General features: G+C 49.8%; 1 protein-coding gene across 1 annotated transcript in view, besides 4 other annotated features; it reads right to left on the reverse strand.

The window, feature by feature from the left end:
- The window catches only part of EMP2 (epithelial membrane protein 2), a 52177-nt gene extending 47081 nt beyond the window's left edge, over positions 1 to 5096 (reverse strand). Inside the window, exon 1 of the mRNA NM_001424.6 lies at positions 5047 to 5096. The gene's annotated coding sequence lies outside the window, so the exon portion shown is untranslated. The remainder of the gene's footprint in view (positions 1 to 5046) is intronic.
- Positions 3122 to 3699: an enhancer, noted in NCBI's record as "H3K4me1 hESC enhancer chr16:10672481-10673058 (GRCh37/hg19 assembly coordinates)". NCBI's record gives its function as "activates a minimal SCP1, AML or CMV promoter by ChIP-STARR-seq in naive H9 embryonic stem cells {active_cell/tissue: H9 hESC(naive)}" and the evidence as "EXISTENCE:reporter gene assay evidence [ECO:0000049][PMID:30033119]".
- Positions 3370 to 3664: a silencer, noted in NCBI's record as "tiled region #11768; K562 Repressive non-DNase unmatched - State 20:ReprD". NCBI's record gives its function as "represses a minimal TATA promoter and a strong SV40 promoter by Sharpr-MPRA in K562 cells {active_cell/tissue: K562}" and the evidence as "EXISTENCE:reporter gene assay evidence [ECO:0000049][PMID:27701403]".
- Positions 5017 to 5256: a silencer, noted in NCBI's record as "silent region_7193". NCBI's record gives its function as "represses an Ori minimal core promoter by ATAC-STARR-seq in GM12878 lymphoblastoid cells {active_cell/tissue: GM12878}" and the evidence as "EXISTENCE:reporter gene assay evidence [ECO:0000049][PMID:35858748]".
- Positions 8635 to 9834: an enhancer, noted in NCBI's record as "CDK7 strongly-dependent group 2 enhancer chr16:10677994-10679193 (GRCh37/hg19 assembly coordinates)". NCBI's record gives its function as "activates an origin of replication core promoter dependent on BRD2, BRD4, P300/CBP, MED14 and CDK7 cofactors, with strong dependence on CDK7, by STARR-seq in HCT116 cells {active_cell/tissue: HCT116}" and the evidence as "EXISTENCE:reporter gene assay evidence [ECO:0000049][PMID:35650434]".

Here is a 16547-nt window from a genome sequence, read left to right on the forward strand (position 1 = left end):
CTCGGCCTCCCAAAGTTCTGGGATTACAGGCGTGAGGAGCTTGCATTCTTGGACTTGTCACCCCCATCGCTAGATGATAACCTCCTCTGAAGACAGGAAAATTCCCCACTGTATTGCCAAAGCCTGCAGCAGCTCACTGCACAGAGTTGCTTAATAATAACCCATCAAGATTAAAGTGAGGAAGCCAGCCTCTCCCTCAGCCTTCCTTTGGTTCAAGCAAACCACAAACAAATCAAGCCACTTCCATGTGCATCAATATATCATCTCTTCTGATCCACAGACAGCTGGCAAAGGTCATCAGAGTGGAATCATGACCCTCATTAAAGATGAAGGGACTCCCCTGGAAGCTAAGTTGCAGGTCTCGGTCTGAAGCTGAACATAGGGGCCTCTTTGCAAAAGAAGGGCTTGGTCTGGAAGCTCTCAGATATTTCAGGATGAGTCATGTTTCCAAAAAGTGTGACACGTCCATCCCAGGCCCTCTTATAAAGCCATCTCCCCAAAAGCAGGCACTCTAGTACTCAGATTTTTGCCAAAAGCAAGGACCACTGTGCTTATTAACTAAATTCTTTGAGTATCTTAAAATGTTTTAAAGTTTACAGGATCAACTTTTGTTTCAACCCAAGCAGAAGTATCTGTGAAACCATGGGTTTGTGTGCTACTTACATTTTTTCCCCCAATACCAATCAAGAAGAAGACATAATTATTCTTTTCTGTTTTTATGCCATGGGCCTTTGAGAATTATCTTGTGTGCCACCAGTGGTAACACATTTTGGAAAACATTCATAAGATCAACAAAAAAACTTTGGTTCTTATTTATTCACTGCAAATTTCTTAAATTCATTGCATTTTGAGGAAAGACAGTTCAGAGAAGTTTGTGATCAGGTCATCAAAAGAGAAATCTTCAAAGTGCACGACTTTGCTATTGGGAAAAACTTGCTTGATCTTAAGACTATGAGCGGTCTGCACTGAGACGCTTGGCTTGTCTGTCTGTATATCCTGCATGGTGATGGCGATTTTGCATCCTAGATTTCTCAGGACAATCATGGTGTCAAATATCACCCTGGTGACCCCTCCCTCAGCTCTGGACCCAGAGTTCCAGGAAGCTTCTAGAAGCTGATGTCATCTAGCCTGTCCCTAAAGAGCAGGAACCGGAGAAGTCTCTTCTTCATCCTCAGTCCCTTTTAGATCAACAGAAGCCCAGCTTGCCAAGGAAGATGAGGGCCCCAGGAATTCAATTATTCACTTTAGCAGCTACTCATTAAGCACCGGAGATACTGCATGAACAAAACCAACAGTGTCTCTGCACGGGAAGGAGGGAGGGACTCATTTGGCCAGTTCTCCTCCAGCCTCCTTCCTCCCTATATCCCGCCCCAAGATGGGCCAGCATTCCCAGGGTTCAACAGCTTTGCCCGGGAGCGACCCAGTGCTCAGTGGGAAGTGACCTACTGCCTGAGCGGAGCTCTTGCTCACCATTGTCCCATCAGCACGGGAGCACGGAAATCCAGCCTCCTGGACAGATGACACGTGCTATAAGGGTCCCAGGCCCTGGGGACCTGGGCCTGGAATCCCACTGAACTCCCCTCAGCTGTGGCCTAGATCTAGTCCTGGGTCGGCTGCCAAATTGCTGTGTGACCTGGGCAAGTCACTCCACCTCTCTGAGTGTCCCTAGCTGTCAGTGTCATACTGGGACTTCTAAGGTCCTTATGCCCTGAAATTCTCCAATCTTAGCCCAGGGCTGTCCCGAATGCAGTGAGCTCTCACCCTTTCAGGCACCTGAAGGAGCATGAGTACCTCTGGAGCCGTGCAGGACAGGTGCCCTCATCACCACCACCAGCCTCTGCTCAGGTGTCAGGTTACCAGCCCGGCACTCTCTCGCTGGGTGGCAGCTCTGCCTCTGATATTTTTAGACTCCCCCCTGGCCTGTCCCTAACAAGAGCCAGATGCATCTGATTCCTGCCACAGTGCTGCTGAAATTGCATTCTTTGGCTAACTTCTGCAGGGAGCCAGGCTTCACCACTCCTGGGGTGAGAAGGGGAGACTGCTCTGCCTGTCACCACCACACCAATCCCCATTCCTTCCCTGCACATGCTGAGGCCATCGTCCAAGAGTCAGGCCTCCATCCCTTCTATGATGCCAACTGCCCTCTTCCTTCATTCCAGCTGCTGCTGCCAATCACCTGCCCTCCTGAGACACCCGGACACACACACACACCCCTCCTGCACAGGCATCCCGAGGCTGGCCTTTAACTCTCTCCTCTGGGAGAGATCTGCTCCCTTAATCCCAGTGCCTGGGCCCCACCCCACCTTTGGGTAAGTAACGTCACCGCCTCCCCTCTGGAACTCCCGTGGCTGGAGAGCCCTGCCCTGTCCCCACCTTAGCCCCTGTAGCCCGCGTCAGAGTCCCCACTTGGCCACAGAGCTGGGAAGCAGCCACATGTTGTCCCCCCCACCCCCCCACACACAATTATCTGACCCCCCCCTCCCGGCAAAAGGAGGGAGGCTGGACATCTGCTTCCCAAACAAACCTCGCCAAGCAGCCAGCAGTCCAGCGCCAGCCCATCTGGCCTGGAAGGACATTTATATATTTTCATCTCGACAGACTTCCCTTCCTGGTCCCGTCTGGCGGAGTTTACTATGACAAAGAAGTGGCCTTTGCTGTGCCCTCACTGACCTGGAAGGCTGTATAGCAGAGGCGAGGGCAGGAGAGTGTCACTCTATGCCTAGGGTGAAAAATGGGCTGGTTGATCCTCCCTGTTAATTACCTGTTGCGGGAAATTGGGGAGTCTGTGCACATATGCATGTGGTTTTAGCTCCTACTACGAAGATATTATGTGAGAGGCAGAGAAAAGATACTGAGGTGAAACATTCACTTCCGTTCCAGGAAGAAAGGATTTAAGTGCCATTACTGGGGTGAGGGTGGAGAAGCGGGGGCGGTTTGCTAAATGGATGTGCTCCATAGCCACAATAAAACGCCACCAAGCCCTTTTAGCCCCTCATTAGCTAGACCCTAATCTGGGGTGGTGCCAGCCAGAGCGGGTGCACCCCCTCCTCCAGCCCGAGGTGGGGCAGTGTCAGCCCCAAGCCTCACCCTCCTCACAGGGACGCTTCCGCCTGGCCCTGCCCTCACCCACTCAGCTGGTCGACTCCGTGGTTTCCAACACAAACACATTCTCTGGATTTCAGGCGCACCTCAATCTCTCCACTTGAGGGGCAGAGGAGGCTCCAGGCTATGTGGCCAGCCCTCTGCCTCCTACTCGACTCCCTGGCTCCCCATGGGATGGAGGTGGTGAGATCCAAAAACCCTCAGTGGGAAAACAGGTTCTGCACCTTCCTGCCACCTCCACGCCTCTCCCTGGGCTGTAGTCTTGGCATTTGCCAAGGCCCCCGTGGGCATCCACGCCCTGTTTTCCCCAGAAGGGTCTCCCCTCATTCCCTGCAAACCAGCAGGGCATCTCCAGGTGGAAAGAAGGGGAGGGCTTGGGAGGCAGATGGAGGTTCAAGGTCTAGTTCTTTGCATTTACCAGCTCAGTGGCCTTGAGCAAACCGACTTAGATCTCTAGCCTGTTTCCCCACTTGCAACAGGAGAGCGTGCTGGAAACAGCTCAGGGGTGAGGCTCCCAGGGAGAAACGGAGATGGAGGGCGAGCACCAGCCAACTGCAAACCTCCAGCAGCTCAGGTCGCCATCCTTCCCCTTGTGTGACTCCTGGGAAACCAGGACCCCGTCCCTTCCTCGTCCTCTTTAAGCTTTCTTAACTGAAGGCCGAATTCCAGGAAGAGGTGCCCAGCAATAATGTGTCGGTTCTTAGATTTCTCTCTGATTCAGACTGGAGTGCAGAGGTGGCTAAAGGCGGCTTTTAAAAAATTTTTATGATAAAATATGCATAACATCATAATCATCATTTTAACCGATGATAAGCATACAACTCAGTGGCATTAAATACCTTCACGATACTGTGTAACCATTGCCACTATGTATACCCAAAACTTTTTCATCCTCCCCAAGAAAAACTCTGTCCCATTAAACAGTAACTCCCGGTTCCCAGGTACCCCCAGGCCCTGGCAACCATCATTCTACTTTCTGTCTATAAAATTTGCCTATTCTAGGTGTCTCATAAAAGTGGAATCACACTGTATTTGAACTGGAGGCTTCTTAAGTCCCTCTCCAAGCCCCTTACTTAGACACAGCTGAATTATAAGATCAAGGTGCACACACACACACACACACACACACACACACCCTCAAAGCTTGGGAGGGGCAGTGCTCCCTTCCCCAAAACTGAAGCTGGCCTGGAGGGAGAGCTTTGCCCTGTGGTGTCTTCGGAGTCCCCATGTCCAGCCCCACATCTTCACCTAAAAGACCTCCCTGGAGCGTGCTCAGATCTCTGGATTTGGGGAGGGCGTAGAATACACACTACGAGCTGCAGCCTCTCCTACCTCTGGAACACATGGGTGCGGTCTCGCCTCTTTAAAGCCCCCCAAGCCCTTCTAGAGTTGGCAGGGAGAGAGGTGTCATCCCAGCAGCGCCTCCCGGCTCCTCCACCGTTCCTGACCCCCAAGAAGTCGCTCCTCGCCGCTCGGGGGCGCGACGGAGCAGCGGCGGGGGCCTAGAGGGGTACGCAGCCCAGGAGGACCCGCTGGCCCGGCCTGGCGCACCAGTCCTGCCCGCGAGGCGAGTCTGGGGACGCTGCCCGGGAATCCCTCACGCGACCTGGGGATCTCCCTGGACTCCAAGAGCCCCGGGTGTAAGTCCGGCGGGGCGAGGGGAGGCGCCCTGACTCCTCCCCAAACTTTTCCCGCCTGCTTCGGCTCAAAAGGCGTGGGAAGCTGTCCCGGGATGGCGAAGTGGAATTCTGGGGCCGGAGCGAGCGTGGCGCAGACCAGAGGTCGGCGGCATGGGTGGCACCTCGGCCCTCCCGTTACTGTCACCAATTCCGGGGGCTGCTCCCGGTCCAGTAAGTGGAGGGGTCGCGTCCCTGCTGCCCGGGCGTACACGATCCCGGGGCCCCCCCGATGTCGCCCCGCGCCCTGGGTGCGCCCACAACTCACCCGGCGCTGGCGGCTGCGCTGGCAGCTGGATCGACGGACTGGCTGGGGGTGCGAGGCGAGGCCGCCGGGCTGTTTTGAAGCTCTGGGCTGGGACTGCGCGCCCTCCCTCCACCCTCTAGGCGGCGGGGCCCCTCCTTCCCCGATCCCGCCTCCCGGGCCGTGACGCCAGGAGCCGGGAGAGCCGAGTGGGAGGGGCCGCCGGCGAAAGGAGGGGGCCCTGGAGGGAAAGGCCGAGGCCGGGAGCGCCCTGGCGCCCCCGCACCACCGTTCCCGCCCGCCTCCCTGCGGCTCTGTGGCCAGCTTTGGGGCGGAGCCGGTGGCACGGGCCCGGGGGAAAAGGGAGAAAGGGAGGCTCCCGGGAGCAAGGGTCTTCCCTTCTCTGCAGGTTTCCACATCCCTCTCATTCTCTTTCCTCTCCTCTTCTCCCCTTTTCTTCCTCTTCCCTAAGGAGTTTTGGAATCCGGGCTCCCTGCTCTAGAACCCCTTCTCTGGCCTTTTATGAACTTCCTGAGCTCGTCCATAATCTCCCCTGTCTCAGTTTCCTCTTCTGGGAATGGGAGTGATTATAGGTCGGAAGGTGGTAATACGTCCACAATGTTTGGCTCATGGTACCTGCTCCATAGACGTCAGCCATTGTTATTTTTATCATCTCACCTGGAGTCCTGGCCTTGGTGCGAGATGCCCAGCAACCAGTCTTCAGACTCTTCCAGGACCCCCCGTTCACTCCCCCCACCCGACCAGTACACACACACACACACACACACACACACACACACTCACACAAAGCACTCCCCACAGCCTTTCAACCCACAGTCCTGGTATTTAGTGTCCCTGGAAATGACATCAAAGGAACTGCCTTTCTTTCCAGCCTCAGTTTCCCCATCTGGAAACTGGGAGGGCTGATCTGCTCTAGGGGCTCTTGGGAGGATGGGGGAGGAGACCAGAGGCGCCTGAGCCCCATCGTGTGTGTGTGGAAGGAGGGAGTGGGAGTCAGTGTATTTTTACAAATTGAAGAAATTCCAAAACAGGGTCACAACATATAACAGTATATTTTAAACTTTTAATTTAACAAGTTCATGTTACTTGCACATACCCCAGAATACAAGGCAATTGACTTGTGCTACTGACAAGAGAATGAGAAACCCTTTTAAGAAATGTTAATTTATTGTGCAATCCTGTGCTCTGGTTGGACTCCATGTTTGTATTTTCTGTTGAGCATCTTTTTTTAGTCCTGCTGAGGAGCTCTGTCACGAGAGGGCCTTGTTGGCTCTAAATTAGAGATCCTTGGGGGATTTGAGATCCCCTCTAAAGGGCCACCCCCTCCCCCAGGCCTTGAGCTTCCCAAGTTGGCCTAGGGTCTGACCTGCCAAATCTCCTTTAATTCTACAGTTAACCAAGACTCCCATCCCCCAAGATAATTGTGTGTGTGTGTGTGTGTGTGTGTGTGTGTGTGTGTGTGTGTGTTTGGAGCTGGAGAGGGGACAGGAAGGCACTAATATGAACTGAGTCCTCTTCCTCCATAAAAGGGGAGGAGGGTGAGGTCTGGTTGCTATAGAGGAGGACCAGGAAGGGCCCACCTACCTGCCTATGGCCATGTGGAGGACAGAGAAAACTCCAGAGTCTCCCAGAATGGAAAGGCCAGGTAGGGGATGGAGCAGGCAGGTTTCTGCATTTGCTGAGGGCTTAGTGTGTGCCGGTTACTTTACAAACATAACCTTCAATAGAACACGGCAGCCCTGCAAAACAAGTTACCCTCATTTTATCCATGAAGAAACTAAGGCTCAGAGAAGCTACACCAGTAACTTACCCAAAGTCTCTATGCAGTTGATAAAGTTTGGATTTGAACCCAGACTCACTGCAGCAAACCCCATTCTCCTCTTTCCACCCTATCACTATTTACCAAATGCTAACCACACTCAAGCTCTAAATTTTGCCATATCCACCTTCCACCTGAACTGGTATTCACTTAATTGTTTTCTTTAAATTAACTCCGTTGATTTTAATATGTTTATTTGAAAAAGAAAGCCCTATATTGCTATGGTAAACAGGAAACCAGTGCCATCTGCCAAAAGTAGAAGACAAACTTATGAATATAAACACTATTGAAATAAAACAGTGTTAGTAAATTGTAGCCAGATACTGTTGCCTGAAAGAGTCCATGAGTCTGAGGTTTAGCGTCTATTAAAAGGGAGCCAGGTGCGGTGGTGCTTACCTGTAATCCCAGCTGCTCGGGAGGCTGAGGTTGGAGGATCGCTTGAGCCTGAGAGTTCCGAGGCAGCCTAGGCAACATAGCAAGACCCTGTCTCTTAAAAAAACAGTGGGGGTGATCAGTAAGATGTTAAAAGCATGCTAACACAGAGAAGTCTTTCTTCTGTTATCAGAACTATTGCAAGATCATTGGAAAAGACAGTCATGTTCTCACTCTGATTCAGAGCCAGGAGATGCCTCCTCCCTGTACTGTCTCCCAAGCCACCAGCTGGTGGGGTGTGTCCCAACTGGAAAGAACCCGTCCAGACCCCCAAGATCCCTCTCCAAGACGCAGAAAAAAAAACAGGACAATTGCTCCTCTGCCTTGTTTCTAAACCCTCTCCAGAGCCCAACCTGTCTGTCCCATTCACCTGCTACTTGCTATTCTTTGTTTTCTGTCTTTAAATATACTCCTGTCCCTCTAGGAAGATGGGAGACAGAAACCTGCGTCATACCTGCTTGTATTCCTGCTTCTGGTGTTTCGATAATGAACTTGGTGTGGGGGAAAGTAAGAGTGTGTTTGATGGAATTCTGGTCCCAGTCCTTCAGCCCCTTATACTAGTAGTATACATCCCGACCCTGGCCATAGCCTCGTGATGAGAGGAATATATTCCTCAATTTGATCTTGAGCTTGGCCATGTGACTTGCTTTGGCCAATGAGATATTAGCAAAGATGACACACACAAAGAACGGAAGGGTGCCTGGGTGGTAGGATTTGCCCTCTCTCTCTTTTGCCATTTCCATGAGCATAGTATACCTCTGGCAGCTTAGTGGTCCCAGAAAATGAAAGACATGTGAAATAGAGCTACCCTAGAGGACCTACAGAACTTCTGTCAGAGACACAGAGCTACTCCAGTCAAGCCACAGACATGTAAATGAGAAATGCATGCTAATTGTTGCATGCCACTGCAGCTCATGGTTGTTTGTTTCACAGCAGTAGCTGGTCTATATGGAGAGAGAGAAAGAACTGTAAGGAAGGCATTTGAAGGTATGGAAAGTCATCGAGGATGGGGGCTTGGTTCAGGGTGGGATAGAAGATAATTGATTATGCAGTGATCTCTCATGTGTCTTTCCTGGCTTGAACATTTTAGGGTTCTGCAGTCTCTTGTACCTGGATCCTGTTCACTCTTTCTTGTTCTTAGAAGGAATGACTAGGGGTGCCCATGCCTGGGTGCAAATCTGATCCCCAACCTTAAGAAAGCCGAACAGAACTCAACGTTGTAGCAGCATAGGTCATGGAGAAGACAACGTGGACTCTTGTTAAGAAGGATGGAGATTTTTTCAAATAGCCACAAACTCCTGATGGGAATAGATTGAATATGAATGTGATTCAACCATCATAACCCACTTTTAGTTGGTGGGTTAGCTGAATCTTAACAGATGCCAGGGGTTTTACTAACTTCCATTCAGTGGCTGCTTCCGCTGAAAACAAACTGTTCATAGGCTGCTAAGATGACCCCCATGCGCCTGCCTCCTGGTATTCATGCCTTTGTGTAATTCTCTCCCCTTGAGAGTGGGCTGCACCTAATGACTTGCTTCTTTTTTTTTTTCCTTTTTTTTGAGACAGAGTCTTGCTCTCTCGCCCAGGCTGGAGTGCAGTGGCACAGTCTCGGCTCACTGCAACCTCAGCCTCCTAGGTTCAAGCAATTCTCCTGCCTCAGCCTCCCGAGTAACTGGGATTACAGGCACCTACCACCATGCCTGGCTAATTTTTGTATTTTTAGTAGAGACGGGGGTTTCACCATGTTGGCCGGGCTGGTCTCGAACTCCTGACCTCAGGTGATCCACCCACCTCGGCCTCCCAAAGTACTGGGGTTATAGGTGTGAGCCAGCGCGCCCAGCCACAAAGGCACTTCTAAGTGTGGCTCAGCAGGCTGCCATCTTGGTGTGAGTCAGATGGTTGGGTAGCCCCCAAGTCCTTACTGTATGAAGAGTCAGGAAATCTGAATTCCTTAGAGTGGGACCTGAGAAACATGCTTTCTTGAGGCCATTTCCTCCCTGCCGCCCACCTCCACAGACTGGGTTGGGAAAAGGATGGGGATAATGATTTCAAGCCCTAGTATCGTCCGACTTAAAGCTCAGAGCTCTGGGTCTCATAGCTTCTCACCGTGAGTCAGGGGGTAAAGCCATACCTTTTGAGTCTGACCTTTCCTGCTTCCTTTTGTCTCTGATTTCTGTCACAGAAACACCTACAAACTGCTGTCATAAAACATCCTGCAAATGCAATAAGAATGAACAGTACAAATAGTGTCCGTTTGACTTATGACAAAGGTTTGACTAAGCACCAAAGGCAACAACCACAGAATTTCCAAACTTCTGGAGAAACAGCCCCAAACCATGCTGTTTTAGGCTGTTTCGTGTCTCCTAAAGCCATCACATGAAATGAATGCAAATGTCTGTGAGTAGAACAAAGGTAAGTGGCTGTGCCCTGGTTTTTCCCATTATAGAAACATCTGGCTGCTTGACTCTGGTTCTGTTTTCATCAGGAGGTTTGGCACCACAGGAATGGAGCTTCAGAGCTCTCCCAGATTTGAATTTCCCTGAAATACGGTTAGAAAGGATAACAGGAAGCAGGGGGTGGGGGTTGTGCTCCACCACCAGAGTCATTACTACCCAAACGTCTGGAACCCAGCGTGGCTCATGGGATGTTCTTGGCAAGTCACAGAAGAAAGTCCCCAGGTGTCCCCAGAGTGGCAAGGAGGATGGAGGCCAGCTCTCTTGGCCTGTCTTCTGAAAAGAACAGTTTGGCACTAAAAAGTTTTGCAAAGAAGAAGAAAAAAAGATGTTTCTGTTGTTAATAATGTCCCAGGAGTGGGCTGTGATTTTCCCAGGATCCCAAGTACAGTCATAAAAGCGATCCCTCAGTCTATGAGAGCATCCTTGTACTTTTCTTTTCTTTTCTTTCTTACACAGAATCCCACTCGTTTGCCCAGGCTGGAGACAGTGGCATGATCCCAGGTCACTGCAACCTCCACCTCCCAGGTTCAAGCAATTCTTGTGCCTCAGCCTCCCGAGTAGCTGGGATTACAGGCACCTGCCACCACACCTGGCTAATTTTTACATTTTTGTTAGAGACGGGATTTCACTATGTTGTTCAGGCTGGTCTCGAACTCCTGAGCTCAGGCAGTCCCCACATCTCAGCCTCTCAAAGTGCTAGGATTACATGCATGAGCCACTGCGCCATCCTTGTACTTTTCTAAATATATTTTTTTTAATTTTACAAAAAAATTATTTCCCTTCTGCCAAAAAGGTGATTTTTTCCAATTATTCACTCAATGTATACATATTTTGAATCTCCCATGTGCCAGACATTATTGGAGACTTTGGGAATATAGCAGTGAGTGAACCAACTTGTCCCCAAAACCCCTTGATCTCGTGGAACTCACTAACCAACCCTGGTCAGTTCTGCTCATTATCCTTCTTCATACCGAAATGTGTTTTATTTTTCTTTGCAAGATTGCTGGGTATCTTTTTGTGAGGTGTCTCTTAGTCTATAAAACCATGGAAATATCTTCCTAATCCAAGTGACCTCAGTTGCCTACCCCGCCGCAGGCAACTTCAACCTTAGGACTCTGGCCAGACTCTCGCATCCTTACAAATCTTTGGATCTGGGGAAGTGAGGATGCCTTCCATTTCTACCCTACTGCCCCATGCATGGTCCAGCAGTTCAAAATTCAAAGAATGATGTGGCGGGAGGAGGCCTAGGAATTCCTCCCCATTCTCTCCTCCTGGCAGGAAGGTACGTAAACTATTCTGGATGAATGAGATTCTTGATTTTAAAGGCCTTATATGTTGACATTCTGGAATTCCCTCGTAATGTGGGATTAAAATCCTCTTGGACACAGGCTATGTCTGTTTGCTCTTGTTCGTTCCTCCGTTGTTTGATGTCCTCTGAGAGGTGGGGGTCCAAGATAAGGCAGCCTCAGCCTCCAGACTCCAGCCTCTGCCTTCAGCAACCAGCACAGTGGAGATGCTCACGTGAGGGGCTTTTCTTCCATAATGCTGTTTCCAATCTGTAATTAGATTTGTATTTTTTCAAGTGTGTGCTTTCTTGCTTATTGTCTTCATTCCCCAATAGAACACAAGCTTACCGAGAGCAGAGGTTTCATCTATCTTACCCGTGGCTTTTCCACCAATGTCTTCACACAGTGGGTGAACAACCAGTGTTCCTATTAGTCTTTTAAATTTTAATTTAATTTTTATTTTATTTTATTTAGAAATGGAGGTCTCGCTCTGTGGCTCAGGCTGGAATGCAGTGGTGAGATCGTAGCTCACCACAGCCTCAAATTCCTGGGCTCAAGTGATCCTCCTGCCTCAGCCACCTGAGTAGCTGGGACTACAGCTGTGTGCCACCATGTTCGGCTAATTTTCTTATTTTATGCAGAGATGAAGTCTCACTATTTTGCCCAGGCTGGTCTCGAACTCCTGGGCTCAAATGATCCTCCTGCCTCGGCCTCCCAAAGTGCTGGGATTACAGGTGCAAGCCACTGCACCCAGCCCCACTAATCTTTACAGTGCCTATATGAAAATTAGAAAAAGATGCCTCTTCTGAGCCAGTGATTTAGAAAATAGTAACCTCTCAGGGCAGATAGCTTGACAAATAGATAGCACCTTGGTGCAAACGGAAAAAAATGCCCCTTCCTCTAGGCAGACACAACCCCAAGCCAGGCATATGGTTTGGTGAAGAGTCTGTAGGCTGCATTTCACCCTCTAATCTCCAGGCTGGGAATCCTTGTGCAGGGCACAAATTATACAAAAGGAAGGGGCATGAGAACCAATAAATATTTGATGAATGAGTTAACGAATGAAAGGCACATCCTTGGGGGATGTGTGGTGGTTTTTAAAAATGTCTGCAAATTCTGTGACAGCCCATTGAGAGCTTTGGACCCATTGATTGGTGTCCAGTCAATCAACAGTATATGGTGCAAGCAAGTATGTGGCTTCCAAGGCCAGATCATAAAAGACCATGCATGCTCAGCCTGGTTCTCTGGAGGACCTACTTACTGAGCACCTACTTATTGGCACTGAGCCAGGCACGGGGACTACAATGATGAGCAGAAACAAATACAGCTCAATGCCTCATGAAGTTTACAGTCTGGTGGGATGCACTACTATTAGGATGGCCACAACATGTATCATCCAAAGTAGGACACTTCTGAGAGTGAAAAGGGTGCTATTAGTAATTGCAGTGGGACAGTAAGCATACCTAGAACTATCCCAGGGCGACAAGGGTGTGCAATTGCCCTAACTATAATCAACTAAGTAATCCCTCAACTAAATGTGAATGTATCAGCATGACAGTGTGCTATGAAGGAAGAGAAACCCAGTGCTCTGCAAATCTAGCATAAGGGGATTGACCCAAGCAGAGATATCAAGAGGGCTTCCCTGAGGAAGGGTGCTGGAGCTTAGGCCGGAGATCCAAATGGTAAGTAGGAGTTGCTTCGCAGAAAGCAATGGGAGACAGCACCGAGTGGAGGTGGCAGCTCGTGCAAAGGCCTCGTGGATGGGAACATGAAAGGCAGGAGGGCCTGAAAGAAGCCGTTGCAGCTAGAAAGGCCAGAGTGAGGATGAGGCTTGAAAGATGGTAGGGCTATGGTAAGGCTGGGGAATTTGTTCTAGGAGCAATGGAACACCATTGAAGGATTTTTCTTTTTTTTTTCCCCCTTTTTTTGAGATGGAGTCTCACTCTGTCACCCAGGCAGGAGTGCAGTGACTTGATCTCAGCTCACTGCAACCTCCACCTTTTGGGTTCAAGTGATTCTCCTGCCTCAGCCTCCCGAGTAGCTGGGATTACAGGTGCCTGCTGCCACACCTGGCTAATTTTTGTATTTTTAGTAGAGACGGGGTTTCTCCATGTTGGCCAGGCTGGTTTCGAACTCCTGACCTCAAATTATCTGCCCGCCTCAGCCTCCCAAAGTGCTGGGATTACAGGGGTGAGCCACTGTGCCCAGCTGAAGGTTTTAAGTCAGTAGCAACATGATCTGATTGACTGCTCTGTGAAGAAATTTGGGGAGGGAAAGTGTGGACTCAGGTGGAGAAATAACAAGATGAGAAATGATAGTAACTTGAAATTCAAGATTTCATTCATACTGCAGAATGATGCTGGGTCTAGGAGAAGAATAATCCAAAGGGGATTCCGAGGTTCTTTTGGGGAGATGTCTAGAGAAAATCATGTTATTTATAGGACTGAAGAGTCTGGGGGTCGGATGAAATGGACAATTCTCTGGGGGCCATATGTGAAGGGTTTGGCTCGGTGCCTTGGAGTGTCTGATGGTGCAGATGTTTCTTAAAGTGCTGGGGACACACTGAACTCTGGGGATAGGATGGTCTAACTCAGGTAATAAGGAATAATTCACTGGGCAGCTTCTATGTGAGCTGCACTTTGATGATGGAGTAGTTGGCCAGAGAGCAGGGGGCAGGGGCGGTTCCCGAGGATGCCTGGTCACAAATGAAGCTTCATGTATTTACCCGTCTGGCTTCCAAAGGGAAGCTTAGGGCAGCTTACCATCAAAGACACAGACACAATAGAGCTGACACAAAAGGAATACAAACTACACAGATGGAGGAGGAAGCAAATACATGAGCCCAGAGATTTGAAAGATGAATGCACCTATGAGTCACCGAGGAACATAGTAACTATGTAAATTTCTAGACCCCACTTCTTAAGGTGCTGGTACAGTAGATCTGGGGTGAAAGCCCAGGGATCTGCGTATTTAACAAGCCTCCCTCCCCTGCAAAGTGATTCTGACATAGGTGATGAATGGACCACATTTCAAGAAACACCGCTTTAATCCTTTCAGCAAATGCAGTCATAGTAAGTGAGTATCAGATTTAACGCTGGAGCCCCCGACACCCTAGGCACGATGGTGAGCTGACATCCTATTGAGAAAGGTATTCTTGGCTGATGGAGAGCTGCCTTATATTCCCACAGAGGTGGCCCATAGGAGAGCATCACTGGCTCAATTGAACTACCTTGACCTTCAGTTGCATCTCTCTGTTACTAGAGAGGGCTTTGTGTGAATCCTTGGCTAGGGTAGGTGTCGGATTTTGCCACCAAGGCACCATGGCACAAACAGCACCAGAATAACCAGCCTAAGTGTGTAAACTGCTGGAATATGCATGGTCAACTTGGCATTGAGAATGACGATGAGCTGGTAAGATAAGGGTTAACATTTCCAGCCCCGGAACAGCCACTCTCCCTCCTGGGAGTGATTCTGGGCAGACAAGGTGGGACCATGTTTGCTCAGCCTCCAGGACCAGACAAAGTGGATAGTGTAGGGATGTGATGCTTTTGAAAATCTAGTGTGTGTGCTGTCCTCACCTAAGCTTCCAGAGCATTTTTGATTCTGTGCTCCTTGCAATTTCTCCTACTTCTTTATTAATCCTTTCTTAGGTTTCAGTAGCCCTTTCCTTGCTTCTGAAAAGCTTGAAACCTCTCCCCAGGCATTGAGCAATGGGAGGGAGACATAGATGGTGGGGTGGCTGACTGATGAGGACAGACTTTATCTAGGACATTGCTACTTAAAGTGTGGTCCATGGACCAGCAGCATCAGCGTCCCTGGGAACTTGTGAAAAATGCAGACTCTGAGGTCCCACCCAGCCTTGGTGGCTCAGAATCTATATTTTCACAAAATCTCTAGGTGAGTCACCTGCGTGTTAAAGTTTGAGAAGTGCTGCTGTACTTATTCCTTCATCCCACAACTATTTTTTGAGGGCTTCCCAAGGGCCAGACTCTGTCCCAGTGCTGGGGCACAGTGACAAATGAAAATGACATAGTCCCTGACTCAGTGAAGGGAACAGACTAGTGAGGGGGCTATGAGATATTAATAAATACCCAAGCAAACAAACATTCCATTACAAGTTGTAGCAGCTGAAATTCAAGAAGGAAAAAAAGATCCAAGTGATAAAGTATGAAAAAAGTTGTGGCCGGATGCGGTGGCTCATGCCTGTAATCCCAGCACTTTGGGAGGCCGAGGCGGGCAGCTCATATGAGGTCGGGAGTTCAAGACCAGCCTGACCAACATGGAGAAACCCCATCTCTACTAAAAGTACAAAATTAGCCAGGCGTGGTGGCGCATGCCTGCAATCCCAACTACTCGGGAGGCTGAGGCAGGAGAATCGCTTGAACCCGGGAGGTGGAGGTTGCAGTGAGACAAGATCATGCCACTGCACTCTAGCCTGGGCAACAAGAGTGAAACTCCATCTCAAAAAAAAAAGGTCGTAAGACAAACAGCAGACTTGGAGAGGGATTTGTGACTTGGAGAGGGATTTGTGGCAGACAGAATAGACACAGAGTTAAAAGGAGGGGAAAGACCAAGGACAGCCAGGGCCAGGGAAGGCCTCTCTGAAGACGTGTCTTTTAAGCATGGAAAGTGGGTGGTCCTTGAAGGAGTTGGAAGATTCTAGAATGGATGCCCAGGTCTTGTCCTGGATCATGCAAGTGAATTAGAACCTCAAATGTCAGAGCTCAGATTGTAAGATTCCTGGAGAAGCAGCTAGCGCTGACCATACACGGTTATAAGTTCATCCCGTCCATCCGCGCCCATGGGATCCTCTTCAACCCAGCCCTATTCAGCCTGGTGCTGAAGCATGGAGGCTGAGGATGCCCGGGCTCATTCCTTGCTCCAGGATTGTAAAAGCCTGTTAGACACCAGTCCTAGTGCTTGGAAACTGTTATTCTAGGGCCTCCTTCTTCTAGGGTGGATCCGAGGTTTTGTGGCCAGAAAACTGGCAAATCAGCCTTTGGCTAAAGATTAGGGAAGGAGATGTTTTGTTCTGTTTTTCCTGAAATGGTTTCTAAATGTTCCCCCTCCCAAGGGTACTAATCACCTCTCCAACCAGCCAGTTCCTATGGCATGACAGGAGCCTACAGCATAAGTCTCCACATGGTCACCCCCTCCCGTGGCAGCACTCCAGACTCCCCTAACCAGAGAGAGGAGGCATCAGGTGGGACGGGGTGCTCAGAGCTGAAAAAATACTGGGAAGCTGGAGAAATGACGGAGGGAACCACAAAGACTTTTTCCCAACCTAATACAATGGAGGTGATCCCCCGGGCGGGGGTGGATTGGGCGGGAGGGGAGTGTTTGTTAAAAATTTACATCACTGGGTCCATCATCCAAACCCACTGAATCAGAATCTCCAGGGGAAGGGACTGAGAATTATCATTTTTAGAAGTAAGGGGTGGAGCACTAGGCGACTGTATGTCCAGGGGAGTTGGAAAATCTGATGTGGAAGGAACAAGCTCAGAGAGGACT

Source organism: Homo sapiens, chromosome 16 (genome assembly GCF_000001405.40).
Source record: "Homo sapiens chromosome 16, GRCh38.p14 Primary Assembly".
Taxonomy (NCBI): Eukaryota; Metazoa; Chordata; class Mammalia; order Primates; family Hominidae; genus Homo; species Homo sapiens.